A 15718-nucleotide genomic window follows, 5' to 3' on the forward strand; every position below is an offset into this window, starting at 1 on the left:
ATTCTCTGATGGCCTGTGTGTTTTGAAAAGATTAATGGATAAGGCAGTGGATTTCACTGCTAACCTTGCTACACCGTAGCTGTGTAACCTTGGGTAAGGCAGTTTCTTTATCTGTAAAAGAATGGAAAGATCACCTAAATAAAGTACTCAGTAAACACTCAATAAATATTAAATATCGTTATTATTCAACAAGCATTTTTGACGCTGATCACTAGCCTTCATTAAAAGTATAACTTGGATGAACGTTGAACACACCGAGTGAAAGGAGCCAGACACAAAAAGCACATGTTGTATAATTCCTTTCAGACAGTATATCCAGAATAGGTAAATCCATAGAATAGAAAACTAATTAGAAGTTACCAGGGATGGAGGGGAGAGAGGGATGGGGAGTGATTACTTAACAGGTACAGGATGTTTTTCTGGGGTGATGAAAGCATTTTGAAACTAGAAAGAGGAGCTGGTTGCACAGCATCATGATATAAAATGCCATTGAATTGCACACTTTAAAATGGTTAATTGTATATTATGCCAATTTCACCTCACTTAAAAAAAGTCATATATGGAAAATAGCTTTAAGGCACCACTACAACTACTAAATAGGTTTGTATTTTTAAAAGAACTTTATGGAATTATAGGAAGCATTTCTTGATGTTATGAGATGTGTTGGAAATACAGAAGAATAGCTTATTTTGGAACAGATATTATTGGCTTGAAATTTTGCCAGTTCAAGCTGGTCTCTTTGGAAGACTAGACCTTTATTTTCTGGCTTGAAAATGCTTTGGACATAAGTACCCTATTATTTTGTTGTTAAAAATTATACTATTGACATCCCCAATTTTTTCTCCTGAAGTTCAGTATAACCTAGAAATAACTTCATTGCTACACTATTTCATTAACTACATGGGTGCTTTTTTAGTTAATAATGATGCATAATGTCTTCATGTGGCAGAAACACTAACCTGCCCCTTGTCATAAATCTGTAAAAAGATGGACATTGGTTTAAACCCAGTTGTTGAATTCTGTGCTTTTAACCAGTATGTTACACTGTCTAGTTGGGGAAGAATCCCAAATCTTCTTCTTTCTTTAGAAAAATCCAAAACAGCATACAAACTAGCAAACTCTCATAAATGTTGTTTGAGAAAATCAATTGCCCTAACTACTAAGACAAAGGATCTATAAAATCTGATGAGAACAATCTTTGTAATTTGATTTTTATAATTTTGTCAGCTTAAATTAGTAAAAAGTTAATAATTATTACTTTTGTTACGCTTATAATAAATAATGTGTTTCTACACCTTCCATAAACACCTACAACCACACTTTTTACCACAGTTGGTGGAGTGAAGGGTGGATGGAGGAGATAGTGGCAAAAACACCCCAATCACTTTCAGTGATTAAAGTAAAGATGTGTCTAACTTTACTCCTAAAGTATCATCCAGTAAAGCGGAATGTAAAACATACTTTTGAACTGTTTGAAATCAACTACATTCCTATGGCTTACGACTGTGGGACAAGTTTCTAACTATCAGATTTGATTTTTAATTAATCAGTGATATTTTATACCAGCAGTCTCCAACCTTTTTGGCACCAAGGACCAGTTTTGTGAAAGACAATTTTTCCAGGGACTTGGGGGTTGGGAGGGTGAGGGAGGAATGGTTTTGGGATGATTCAAGCACATTACACTTATTGTACACTTTATTTCTATTATTATTACATTGTAATATATAATGAAGTAATTATACAACTCACTGTAATGTAAAATCAGTGGGAGCCCTGAGCTTGTTTTCTGCAACTAGACAGTCCCATCGGGGGGTGACGAGAGACAGTGACAGATCATCAGGCGTTAGATTCTCATAAGGAGCATGCAACCTAGATCCCTCATCTGCACAGTTCACAATAGGGTTCGCAATTCTATGAGAATGTAATGCCACTGCTGATCTGACAGGAGGTGGAGCTCAGGTGGTAATTAAAGCAATGGGAAGTGGCTGTAAATACAGATGAGGCTTCCTTCACTGGTTCACCCACCACTCACCTCCTGCTGTGTGGCCCCGTTCCTAATAGGCCACAGACTGGTACCAGGACCCCTGTTTTACACGATGTGGAGTCTTTTGTATGCAAAGAATATTGTTGACTTTCGCCACACGGAAGCCCCCCCGCCCCCCTTCCCCCGCCTTTTTCCTTTCCAGTTACATTCCCACAGGTATTCTTAGTACCACAACTGCAGTTGAATTTCACAGTATGGTGGGTGGTAAGCTATGGTGGGCGGTATGCTTGGATAAGGCTGGCTATTTAGAAATTTGGAATAAATGTAGTGTTATGACTAACAGTAATGTTGCCTATCAAAAATTGTGAATGTTAATAAATGTTTTCAACACAATCGTTAATGCTTTCCAGTGAGTTAAACCAGCTTCATGTTACAGTTGTATTTTCCATCCCAGTAGGGAGTCATTATTAAATGGGGTCATGTTTTCAAGCCCAACTTAAAATCCCTCTTACAGATTGCCTTCCCCACCCCACCCCCAGTTTTCTCTCATCACTTATACATTGAAATAATTGCTTATTGTTTTCCCTCTTTAAATTTTTTTTGAGAAGTCAAAAATTGAGTACCTTGTTCAGTGTTTTTGCTTATGAAATACTTTGTGAATAAATTTTGTTCTTAGCTGAAGAAAATTTCTTAGGCAGTTAAGAAAATACTAATAAGCTAATTAATGAATAAAAACTAATTTCATTGGTCCTGATTGGAAGTGCAACATTTACCGATATTTAGCTATAATCCTTTTGATCAGTCAGAAATTTGTAATTATTCTTTGAGAAATAAAAAGTTGAGAGGGCTGGGTGCGGTGGCTCACACCTATAATCCCAACACGTTGAGAGGCCGAAGCAGGTGGATCACTTGAGGTCATGAGTTCGTGACCAGCCTGACCAACACTGTGAAACCCCATTCTCTACCAAAAAAAAACAAAAAAAAAGAAAAAAGAAAAAAATTAACCAGGCATTGTGATGTGCGCCTGTAGTCTCAGCTACACAGGAGGCTGAGTCAGGAGAATCACTTGAACCTGGGAGACGATGCTGCAGTGAGCCAAGATTACACCACTGTACTCCAGCCTGGGCGACAGAGGAAGACTGTCTAAAAAAAATAGAAAAGGAAGTTGAAAACAGCTTAGGGAAGAGCTGCAACCACTGACCAGCACCAGTACTCCATCATAATATATGCTTTTCACTTATAAGGAACTGTAATGTAAACTGTGGACTTTGGGTGATAATGATGTGTGAACACGGGATGACTGGGTACAACACATGTAGCACTCCAGTGGGAGACATCGAAATGCATATGTGGCGGCAGGAGGTGTATGGGAGCTCTCTGTACCTTCCTCTTAATTTTGCTATGAAGCTAAAGTGGCTTTAAAAATACAAATACAGAAAAAAACTTGTGCTTTCTATAGATTAATTTGAACATAGACACATTAATATAATAGATACATTGATTTGAACATAGGTACATTAAGTTGAACACTTAAGGTTTTTATGATGTCCTATACCACAATAAACTGAAGAAGTCTGCCTTACAAGTTTGTTCAAAGAACTCTCAATGCTCTCACTGCTCCTTCCCTGCCTTGAACAGGAAGTGTCATCCAGTGCAATAAGGGGGAAAATAAAATGTGCATAGCAATCAGAAAGGAAGAAATAAAGCAGTTTCTATTCACAGATGCAGTTCCTATTTAAATTCATCAGCAAGGTTTTGGTTTTATGAATGATAATATTAAAATGTAAAAAACACTATTTTCATTATGTAATGTGTCACCTACAAGATGCTGAATTCCTGTTGCAGCGGATGCTGAATTCACTCTGCCCTTCTTATAAGAAATATGTTGGGCCAACCTTTTGTTTTTAAGTTTGCTTACAGCCTTACCTGTGCTCTTTCAAAGTAGATTTTCACTATTTTGAACACTCTATTAAGGTAAAGATGTGTTCGGCCAATGAAACTACTAGAGCAAAATGTTTACACTGTATTTCTGATTTGATTGTTTTAATACAACTGAATTAGTGTTTTCTCCTATCTCTATGCAATATTAATTCCTGGGATGTCTGTGTAAATTAATTAATTTACTGACCAGAACTCTACTTTAGCTTCTTATGGTTTTGTTTTCTTAACATTTAGAAACGGCTAAATTTAGAGGACATAAATTTTCTCCATGAGATTGTTTAAATTCAGTTGACTTTTTAATGTGGATTATATTTGAACTTGAATGCCGCACGCATTTTTAAGGCTGGTTCATGGCTTCTGTCACTGGTACGTTGTATTTCTCACTGTACTATTCTTTTACGTTGCCTCTTGTCTGAAATGAACTTGATTTTAACCTTTTATTTTCTGGTCTAATTATATGAGCTTGTGGGGAGCCTCACATATTGTTAGTATATCTCCTTAAATAACATGCATTGAGGCTGAGGTCAGCAGATCACTTCAGGCCAGAAGTTCGAGACCAGCCTGGCCAACACGGTGAAACCCGATCTCTACTACAAATACAAAAAAAATTAGCCAGGTGTGGTGGTGGGCGCCTGTGGTCCCAGCTACTCAAGAGGCTGAGGCAGGAGAATTGCTTGAACCTGGGAGGTGGAGGTTGCAGTGAGCTGAGATTGCACCACTGCACTCCAGCCTGGATGACAGAGTGAGAGTTTGTCTCAAAAAATAAATAAATTAAATAAATAAATAAATAAATAAATAAATAAATAAAATAAACATGAATTGTATAATCCAGCTTTGTTATTTTAGCTCTAAACTTCTGGTGTATGGAGACAGATTTTCAGGGAGTTTGGTCCTGGAGGAGAGACGGCTGCAGAACCTCAAATATTACTGAATTAAAAAGGAAAAGATTGTATTGATCATTTTACCGTGTGGGGATTCAAATACTAAGAGGATAATGATGATGATAATGATGACGATGAAAGCTTGTTTATGGGACATTTTACTCTTCCAAAGTCTGGGAAGGAATTTCAAGTGTATTCTGGGGACTTCTGAAAATATTAGCCAATGTTAGAAACAAAGTCACAAGCCAAAGGGATTGCTTTTGAATTTAGGCTTGTGATCCATCTTCTTTTAATTCACTGTTTTAATTAATAAAAGTCTGGAATATTTACAGAGGATTGTTTATAAAACTTCACAAATTAGAAACTTGGAATTAAAAATATATATATAAAATATTTCATATGTGTAAAAACAGGATAATATTTAAATATCTGACCTCATGAGAATAATGACTCAGATTTCTTGTTATCGTGAGACTTTTTCTCAATCAACTTTTTATTAATATTCATAACATTTATGCAACATGAAGATTCTGAAGGGACTTTGTTGTCTGAGAACACATCTATTTCAGATCTGCGGAGTGTATCACTTTTTGCTGTGTCTTCAAAGTGATTCTTGGTTTATTGCCTGCTAAGGCTAATAAATGTATAATAAATCTGCTTGTTGTGTCACTTGCAGGTGCTATGGTCTTTAGAATTGGGTCACTGGATTTCTGAGGAGCCGTTCGAACTGTCTCACCACTTCCCTGCAGCTCCCGTAAGTCAGATGTTGTTTTACGATGGTAAATGCAGTTTGCTGTTCTCAAGAAATTATTATAAACATAAGGGTGGACTTAAGTTTTTATCCAGTCAAGCACAATTATGCCCATAATTAAAAAGACATTCACAGAACTTAACACCTTTTATCAATTTATTCGCGAGAACAAATGTGAGAACGTGAGACCATTGTGCAAAAAGTAGTGAGGAATGCAGTCCAAAGAAAATTTGACGATTAACATCCTCAGAACTGAGAAAAACAAAAATGAAAAAAGACTGAATTCTTGGGCAGGTAGTCTTATATCTTGCTTAATGTTTTTACTGTTAATAGAAATAGAACTGATAGGTATAAAGATTATGGCTTGCTGGTGCTGTGATAACAGTATTTATATTTTTATGGCTTTCCTAAATTCCACTTCAACTTTCAAATGCTTCATTGAAAAGTTCTGGGTTCTAATTTTTTTTAAGATTAAGTAATAATTAAGTGGATAATTTAAAGTTTGCTTGGATACAGGATTGTGCAGAAGTTGCCTTTCATGTTCAAAAATGTTAATTTGTTTGTCACAGTTTATTCATTCAAAAGATTAATAGCTGAAAGATAAATGGTGATTTTTATCTGCCACTGGTGTTGTTATTTAGCTGTTTGAGTAGGCCATATGACTAAAACATAACAAGGAGTTGAACTGTGCTCCCTGATCACTGTAGTTATCTAGGTTGTTGGGTTGTTTTGTTTTCATTTTTAAGATTACTGTTTGATTTCCTTTCAGCTTTATAAACATTTTCTTAAGGAGAGACAAAAGCTCCTCTCAGCAAAACTGTTTGTTTGAAATACCGTGTAAGGAATTGAAGTGTAAAGTAAAAACACAAATTCCCCCCATTCTCGCTCATAAGAGATTATATATGATGCACAATGACATAATGAGATTTGTCCTTGAATTTTTTATCACCTGCCTACAAAGAGAATTGATATAAATTGTGTTGTTGCCAGTTTTTCCTGCATTAGCGTTTCCCTACCTAAGTATCCATCACTCTTGTCATTGAGATATCCTAGAAACTTGTTGTTGTCTTTCGAGGCTGTGAAATTTTCTTATTTTCAGTTGTTTTTCAACTTGATACAAGGCCATGATACCGTTGTTGAATTCATAAAACCTTCTTAAATATAAAGTAGATACAGTTCTAAGATAGGGAGGTTCTTAACTAGTTAAATAGTTGTTGGAAAAGTGCACCTTGGTGGAAATAAAACAGAGCCTTGACTTTGCCAGAGTCCATCATTGACTCCAAATATGTAGCAACACCTGTGTGTTCTAAAACTACGTCAAGTGGTGGGGAGAAGTTGGGGTAAAATAAATTAGATTTTGAAATGGAATAAAGAAAAAATAATGGTAGAACACTGTAAGGTGAAGACAGACATATAGTAGATGCTAGTTACAGACTGGACTCTGAACTTCCTTGCAAATGATTCAGAAAAGAATATATGAGAAATTGCCTTTAAATTATAAAGCTTTACACAAATGTTCATTAGTATTAATTGTACTATGAAAATTTCAAAAGGAGTTAAAACTCCAGGAGTTTATGGTTTTGTAGTCCCGAGTATAAAGCTGTGTTCTCAAATTTTCTTTTCTTTCTTTTTTTTTTTTTTTTTTTGAGATGGAGTCTTGCTCTGTTGCCCCGGCTGGAGTGCAGTGGTGCGATCTTGGCTCACTGCAACCTCTACCTCCCTGGTGCAAGCAATTCTCCCTGCCTCAGCCTCCCGAGTAGCTGGGATTACAGGTGCCCGCCAGCACGCCTGGCTAATTTTTGTATTATTTAGTAGAGACAGGGTTTCACCATGTTGTCCAGGCTGGTCTTGAACTCCTGACCTCAGGTGATCTGCCCACCTTGCCTACCAATGTACTGGGATTATAGGTGTGAGCCACTGCGCCCAGCCCTGTGTTCTCAAATTTTTGGTAAATATTTAAATATATTATGAACATCAGATTTTGTTTTTGCACTTTGAAACCCTTTTTTTTTTTTCAGTTTGCTGATTGACATAAAAAAACTTACTAGTGTCAATTATTTTTTTCCTTAAGTAAATTTAAGGGTGAATCTTGAGACATATAGCTTTGTAAATTTCTTAAATAGAAGGCTTTTCTCAACCAGAAATTAAATTGTAGTCTAGTTCTATAAAAATATATCTTACTAGGAAAGAAAACAGACCTCTGTTTTAGAATAGTGAGAAGATAGTAAAGTTTCTTTGTCATAGAATGAAATGTATAATTTTCCTCATCATTAAAAGTAAGAAGTTTCCTTATCACAAGGCACAATTAGGTCTTTTGGAAACAAATTATAAAATTGTAAATATTATCATAAAAGTTAAACATAGGCATATCCCCTAATAAGTTATATTTAATTACTAAAAATACCTTCATATTTAACAATCAGGCAGAAAAAAATAGTACGGTCTGCATATAAACTAAAATGGCACGTTTCTGTTGATAATTTCAGAGATTCTGGAAGTTTCTACCATATAAATTTGAAATACGTATTTGAGCATTAACTTATAACTAAGCTGTCAACATAAATGTAAATACGCTGTTTTTGAAATAAAAATTTAAAGCACCTAAGAGATGGAGTAAAAATGCACTAACTGTTTTTCCAAATATTAAACTTCTAGTAACCCCTTCTCAGAATATCCCTGAATATGTCTTTTTATGGCTTAGAGAGTTTTTTTCTTCCTTTTAATTGTGATAGTGATGGTGAATTCAGGACATATGGGTATTTACACAGTGTATAAACAGTGCTCAGAAGAATGCAGTTCCAAGATGATCTGTATTGTATAACATAAGTGTTCTGTTTTCCAGTTATTTACTGATAAACTTGCACATAACATTCTTGGTTGTGACAGCAGCGTCTGTAAACTGTCAGTCTGATTCTCAGCCTCGGGTTCATCTTTGCATAGGTGTTCTGTCTAATCACAATTATGGATGTTTAGGGTCTTGCTTTGGTCCGTTAAGTGATGCAAGTTTAAGTGATAAAGTTTACAGGCTCTAATCTGGAGCATGTGGGTCCCGTCAGCACCGAGCACACGCCCTCTGTGGTGGAAGAGGACACAGTGCGCAGCCGTGACTTTCAGTGCACTGGGCTTAAGTCTTTGAAAATAGTTCGAGACAGTTCCTCAGGTGGACTGGGATGTTTAGAAATCTGCTGGTCGGATCATCATGGTTGTGGCCTTGAGCGAATAGCCTGAGCCTTTCCAGTAGTACCATTTAATGCCGTTGAACTTATTTGTGTTCTGCCTCTGTGGATAGTACATTCCGTTCAAGTTGGAAGGACCACATGCATCAAACCACCAGCCTGTGAAAGTAAAACACAGAAGGAATTAGGAACTAGGTGATGCCAGCTCCCACCACGAAGACAGCAATACTCAGCTAAGGCAGGAGGCACACTGCAGGCGTGTGGAGTAGGCACATGCAGATGATGGTGAGTATAGGATGTGCACTGGCAGAGGGATTGTTTTCCAGCCATACACCCATGACATCACAGTTCCATTACGGCAAATGCTTTTACAAGCCTTCTTCCACCTTTTCCCTTGTGCTGTGTGGAGAGGCCTGAATTCTCCACAGTCCTATTTGGTAAGCCCACAGTGTGTACACACTTACAGCAGGAGTAAGCAAACATCTGAGGCACAGTTGGAAAACTCTCCTTCAACCAGGATTACTTTGCAGTCCCAGCAACATGGTGGGCTGGACTCGCTCAGGCTCCCCTTGCTCTATTAAATGATTTTTTCGGTTGAAGTTTAAACTAAAATATTAAGTACTCAGTGGAGCTACATAAAAAGGAAGTCTCTATGTTTCAGAGACAAAAAGGAAATTTAAAGTGAGAGTGTGTGCTCGCTCAGCTAAAGCCAGGGCAGGAGAGGTGTCCAGCACAGGGGCTGTGGGAGTGAAGCCCCATCTGCACCTTAATTTCTGGGCTTGGCCAAAAACAGGAGCATGCTGGGGTTTGTGAGAGAAAGAAACACAGTAGTCCCCCCTTATCTGCTATTTTTGCTTTCTGCACTTTCAGATACCTGAAGTCAGCTGGGCCAAAAATATTAAATGGAAAAATCTAGAAATATTCTATAAGCAGGGGCCGGGCGCAGTGGCTCACGCCTGTAATCCCAGCACTTTGGGAGGCCGAGGTGGGTGGATCACGAGATCAGGAGACCGAGACCATCCTGGCTAACACGGTGAAACCCCGTCTCTACTAAAAATACAAAAAATTAGCCGGGCGTGGTGGCGGACGCCTGTAGTCCCAGCTACTCGGGAGGCTGAGGCAGGAGAATGGCGTGAACCCGGGAGGCGGAGCTTGCAGTGAGCCGAGATCGCGCCACTGCACTCCAGCCTGGGCGACAGAGTGAGACTCCAGCTCAAAAAAAAAAAAAAAAAAAAGAATGTATAAACCTTAAATTGCATGCCGTTCTGAGTAACGGGATAAAATCTCCTGATGCCCACTTCATCCCTCCCAGAACATGAATAATCTCCTCTATCCAGTGGATCCACGCTGTCTACATCCGGTCTCCTGATCACTTAGTAGCTGTCTTGGTTATTAGATCGATTGTCACAGTATCGCAGTGCTTATGTTCAAGTAACGCTTATTTGACTTAATAATGGCCCCAAAAGTGCAAGAGTGATGATGCTGGCAATTCAGATATGTCAAAGAGAAGCTGTAAAGTGCTTCCTTTAAGTGAAAAGGTGAAAGTTCCTGACTTAATAAGGAGAGAAAAAAATCGTACACTAAGGATGCTAAGATCTATAGAAGAACAAATCTTATATCCATGAAATTGGAAGCAATATGTTGTATATTATTCAGTTTTATTATTGTTAAGTCTCTTGTGACTAGTTTACAAACTAAACTTTGTAAGTATGTGTGAACAGGAAAAAATATACACATAGGGTTTGATACTGTGTGTGATTTCAGGCATTTGCTGGACATCTTGGAATGTTTCCCCTAAGGATAAGGGAGGACTGCTGTAACCTTGATTTTACATATGTTAAACTGAATAAATCTCAACAACACTGTGTTGGAGGAACACATACAGTATGATACTCCTTATATTAATTTTTAAAATAGAGAAAATAATTATGATTGATATCTCCATATGTAGGAAAATTAATAAATAAAGTGAATTAACCTCGACCCAAGCGTCAGGTAGGGAATGGCACTGGCAGGTCCTCTTTAGCCTTACCCGTAATGCATTATTTCTTAATAAAAACTCTATGCCAAAGAATATATATATATATATTCTTATGTATATATAGAATATATATATATATTCTTATGTATATATAGAATATATATTCTTTATATATGTTTTATATATATGTATACATATATATGTTATATACATATATATGTATATAACATATATATGTTATATACATATAGAAAGAATATATATATTCTTTCTATATGTATATAGAATATATATATTCTTTCTATATGTATATAGAATATATATATTCTTTATATACATAAAGAATATATATATTCTTTATATACATATAGAATATATATATTCTTTACATATATAGAATATATATATTCTTTATATATGTATATATAGAATATATATTCTTTATATATGTATATATAGAATATATATACTTTATATATGTATATATAGAATGTATATTCTTTTTGTATATATGGAATATATATATTCTTTATATATTTATATATGAATGTATATATTCTTTATATCTATTTATATATAGAATATATATACTTTACATATATAGAATATATGTATTCTTTATTACGTATATATATTCTATATATATTCTATATATATTCTTTATATATACGTATATATAGAATATATATATTCTTTATATATGTATATATAAAAACATGCATATTCTTTATATATGTATATATAAAAACATGCATATTCTTTATATATGTATATATAAAAACATACATATTCTTTATATATGTATATATAAAAACATACATATTCTTTATATATGTATATATAAAAACATACATATTCTTTATATATGTATATATAAAAACATACATATTCTTTGTATATATAAAAACATATACATATTCTTTATATATGTATATATATAAAAACATATATATATTCTTTATATATATATATGTTGTGTTTATACATTGGTTTGTTATTTCATCCAGGTTCCTACATTGTTTCTTGGTGGTAACAGCTCAGTGACTTCATTTGATTCAGGTGAATGCAGATTGGACGGAAGTTTGCGTGTTCTATTCAGAATCCTTCACATATTCAGGACTTTGACAGATTCATAGGTCAGTGCCTTCTGGAGCTTGTCCAACTAGAGAAGTTGCTGTCCATGCAAAATGGAGCTGCTCATTAGGCTGGTTCATTCATGGTCCAGACCACTGGCTGGAATTTGACCTCTTCACAGGCAAGACCACTCCACTTTCTCTCTTGGGCTGTTTTTCCTCTCCCCAGTCTCTTTTCCAATTACATTCTCAGTCCCTAAATCTTGATTTGCCTAAGTAAATATATTGTTTCCTTGGTTATTAATGCAATTCTCCTACTCTCCTGAGAAGCTCAGCACATACGGGTGGTCTAATAAGCACACCCTTCTCAAGGAGAGAGCTGGGTCCAGCATGTGGGGAAATGGTAGACAGGAAACAAAGTCCTAGGTGTCTGTGGCTCCTCCACCTGACCCTTTCCCTGCTGTTCAGCTTTAAAAAGGATGATTGTGCCAGGATGAAGGAAACAGGAAGCTTTTGCAAAATCAATAGGAGGGCTTTGCTCATTGGTGTAATAATGGTGTAACATAGGGAGGACCTGTGGTACCAAATAGTAGTCATATTATCTCAGGAACCAGAGGATTGCTTTTTTTTTTTTTTTAATGAGGCCTGATTCTTTCAGCATAAAAGGCATGAAATTTAAAGACATGAAAATTACTGAATTTCATATTATTTTCATTACTAAATCCTCCTTTTGACTGTTAATGATGCTTTTTTTTTTTGAGACGGAGTCTCACTCTTGTCGTCCAGGCTGGATTGTACTGGTGCGATCTCGGCTCATTGCAAACTCTGTCTCCCCGGTTCAAGAGATTTTCCTGCCTCAGCCTCCTGAGTAGCTGGGATTACAGGCGTATGCCACCACGCCTGGCTAATTTTTGTATTTTTAGTAGAGATGGGGTTTTGCCATGTTGGCCAGGCTGGTCTCAAACTCCTGACCTCAGGTGATCCATCCACCTTGGCCTCCCAAAGTGCTGGGATTACAAGCGGGGGCCACCATGCCCAGCCCTATTAATGATTCCTATAGTGTAAATGCATCATAACTTGGGTCATCCATTTGTTTAATGTAGTAACTTTCATTTATAAAACATGTTGACCATAGCTGTTACCTTTGGTTTTCCTGGGTGGGTAACATATTAATTTTTGCAGATATGATTTATGTTCTCTAGAAATTAAACCCTGCCAATTTTCCTGTTATTCTTTACATTCATTTTGCACTATTGGCAGAGTTTTTGTTGCTACTTTAAATCTTTCAGTGTTTTTCAAGAACTAACTTGACAGCATTTGTCACACTTTTTTCTTGTCTCAGTCACTAAGTAGCGTTTGTTCCTGTCAGTGAATTTCTAAACTTTTAACAAATCAGAAAAATAACACTTTCTTTTCTTTTTTTTTTTTTTTTTTTTTTTGAGTGAATTCTTGCTCTGTCCCCCAGGCTGGAGTGCAGTGGCACGATCTTGGGTTACTGCAACCTCTGCCTCCCAGGTTCAAGCCATTCTCCTGCCTGAGCCTCCTGAGTAGGAGTAGCTGGGATTACAGGTGCCAGCCACCATGCCCAGGTAATTTTTGTATTTTTAGTAGAGATGGGGTTTCAACATGTTGGCCAGGCTGGTCTTGAACTCCTAACTTCAGGTGATCCGCCCTCCTTGGCCTCCCAAAGTGCTGGCATTACAGGCGTGAGCCACCGGGCCCGGCCAGAAAAATAACATTTTCTAAAACTTTATTCCTATGTTTGAACTCTCAAATGTTTCTGAATACCAACCCATCTGTTTTAAGTGACTACTACAATGGTTTTTGGCTTATGAGTGTGGTTTTCATTGTCTGTTTTATGGCAGTGTAATACCAAACCTACAATACAAGAAAGGTCTCAAAGTAGAAGATGACTCATTTTAATTTGATTTACTAAAAAAGGTGGATTAACTCATTTGTGTTTATAGGTGTTGCTATATATTAATGGAATCTTTTTTAAAAAGACAGCTGGGGCCGGGTGTGGTGGCTCACACCTGTAATCTCAACACTTCTGGAGGCTGCGGCGGGCAGATCACTTGAGGTCAGCAGTTCGAGACCAGCCTGGCAAACATGGTGAAACCCTCCCTCTACTAAAAATACAAAATTAGCCGGGTGCACTGGTGGGCGCCTATAATCCCAGCACTGGGGAGGCTGAGGCAGGAGAATCGCTTGAGCCTGGGAGGCAGGGGTTGCAGTGAGCTGCGATCACACTCCCTTCTGGACAACAAAGTAAGACTCTGTCTCAAAATAAATAAATAAACAACTGGAGACTGTGTCTGTAAATAAATAAATAATAAATGACAGCTGGAAATTCCTTCTTTGAACATTAAATTATTAGTTGGAAATATTTCTATAATCTATATTACTGTTGTGGTTGCTACTTGGAATTTTTAACTTTTTACATAAAGCAAAATGTAATTAAACCATCTCTCTAGTATCCAGCAAGCACAAACGCAGGAGAGCTTGCTAAGAATCAAATATCCCCTCTCCTTGCCAGGGCTAGGTCCTGAGGAGACACAGTTGGCTTGCTGACAAGTCTAGCTCCATATCATATTCTCACTTAAAACTTAGTCTAAAAAAAGTGAAAAACACATTTACCTATATCAAGCTAGTGTGTCTACGTATGAAATTGTGGACATCGTTACAAATCACAATTTGTAGTCCAAATTGCCAGCCTTTCCCTCTATGAAATCATTCCTTGCCAATACAAATAGGAAGACAGAAAGTCATCCCTACCTCCTGTTAGCATTTGTGAACATTTGCAAATACATTTGTCGTTGTCTCCATCCTTTGTGCTAAAATCATTTCCTGGTTGGCTGATGCTGCTTATTTTGCCGGCTGTCCCTGTAAGTCCTTTAAGGTGAATCCTGTAAGCGTGCAAAGAAAAAAAACACATTGGCTAGGGTCATTGATTTACCGTAGTGGCAAATTTTTTGTGATGAAGAATTCCATTCTACAGAAGCGTGTTCTGTACTCGTTAATGGACTAATGCATACTCTGGACAAAATATTTTGCACTGGTATAAACAGGAACCAACTTATCATCAAATCCTTCAGCAAAGAGGGATGTTTTCATGAAACCTTCAACACATATCACTTGCACAACTATCAGAAGCGACTGTAGAGCCCTGTAATTTATTTTCCTGCTGCTTTCAGATAAACAGAAGAGAAAGAAATGCAGCACCAGGCTCCTCCTCCCAGGTCTCCAGTCATCTTCCATAGAGACGGAGTCCTGAGACAACTGGACAACCTCAAACATTATTTTCCGCAGGGGGCCCCGGGGGGGATGGAGAATGCAGCAGACAAGGAATGGCCACTGAGTTTGGGGAAGAAATCTACAGAACGGTGCTGAAAATAAATCCTTGTGGCTACATTTCCTCATGTCTGTATAGTAGGGTAATGTAATTAAACTTTTAGACATTGAGAAAGGAACAAATGTCGGAGTAAGTTAGACACTATTTACAATACAGACGATCCCTGACTTCCCATGGGGCTATGTTCTGATAAGCCCATTTTCTGTTGAAAATGTTGTATATTGAAAATGCATGGAATACACCTGACCTTTGGAGCATCATAGCTTAGCTCTAGCCTTCCTTAAATGTGCTCGGAACACTCACATTAGCCCACAGTCAGACAGAGCCATTTGGCAACACGGTGCACGCAGTGTCTGTTGTTCACCCTGGGGATCACAGGACTGACTGGGACCTGTGGCTCGCTGCCGCTGCCTGGCATCATGAGGGAGCATCGTGCCACATATCACTAGCCAGGGAAAGATCCAAATTTAAATCCCAAAGTGTAGTTTCTGCTGAATGCGTATCACCTTCACACCATCGTAAAGTCGAAAAATCTTAAGTTGAACCATTGTAAGCTGAATTGCAAAAATACGGCTTACA

At 37.2% G+C, this 15718-nt stretch overlaps 2 protein-coding genes across 20 annotated transcripts in view; one reads left to right on the top strand and one right to left on the bottom strand.

The window, feature by feature from the left end:
* Positions 1 to 15718, top strand: part of MCPH1 (microcephalin 1) — a 241882-nt gene that overhangs the window by 87743 nt on the left and 138421 nt on the right. For 12 of the 14 annotated variants that reach the window (NM_001322042.2, NM_024596.5, XM_017013833.3 and 9 more), the window contains one exon: positions 5483 to 5560. The exons of the other annotated variants lie outside the window; for them this stretch is intronic. In NM_001322042.2, coding sequence (NP_001308971.2) covers positions 5483 to 5560 — 78 coding nt within the window. The remainder of the gene's footprint in view (positions 1 to 5482; positions 5561 to 15718) is intronic. 14 annotated transcript variants of the gene reach the window in all.
* Positions 5263 to 15718, bottom strand: part of ANGPT2 (angiopoietin 2) — a 63614-nt gene continuing 53158 nt past the window's right edge. For 4 of the 6 annotated variants that reach the window (NM_001386335.1, NM_001118888.2, NM_001118887.2 and 1 more), the window contains 2 exons: positions 14563 to 14693; positions 5263 to 8892 (listed from right to left, as the gene is read on the bottom strand). In NM_001386335.1, coding sequence (NP_001373264.1) covers positions 8732 to 8892; positions 14563 to 14693 — 292 coding nt within the window. In that variant the 3' untranslated portion in view covers positions 5263 to 8731. The remainder of the gene's footprint in view (positions 8893 to 14562; positions 14694 to 15718) is intronic. The other 2 variants (NM_001386337.1, NM_001386336.1) reach the window with 1 other exon arrangement.

This window comes from Homo sapiens, chromosome 8 (assembly GCF_000001405.40).
Source record: "Homo sapiens chromosome 8, GRCh38.p14 Primary Assembly".
NCBI classification, from domain to species: domain Eukaryota; kingdom Metazoa; phylum Chordata; class Mammalia; order Primates; family Hominidae; genus Homo; species Homo sapiens.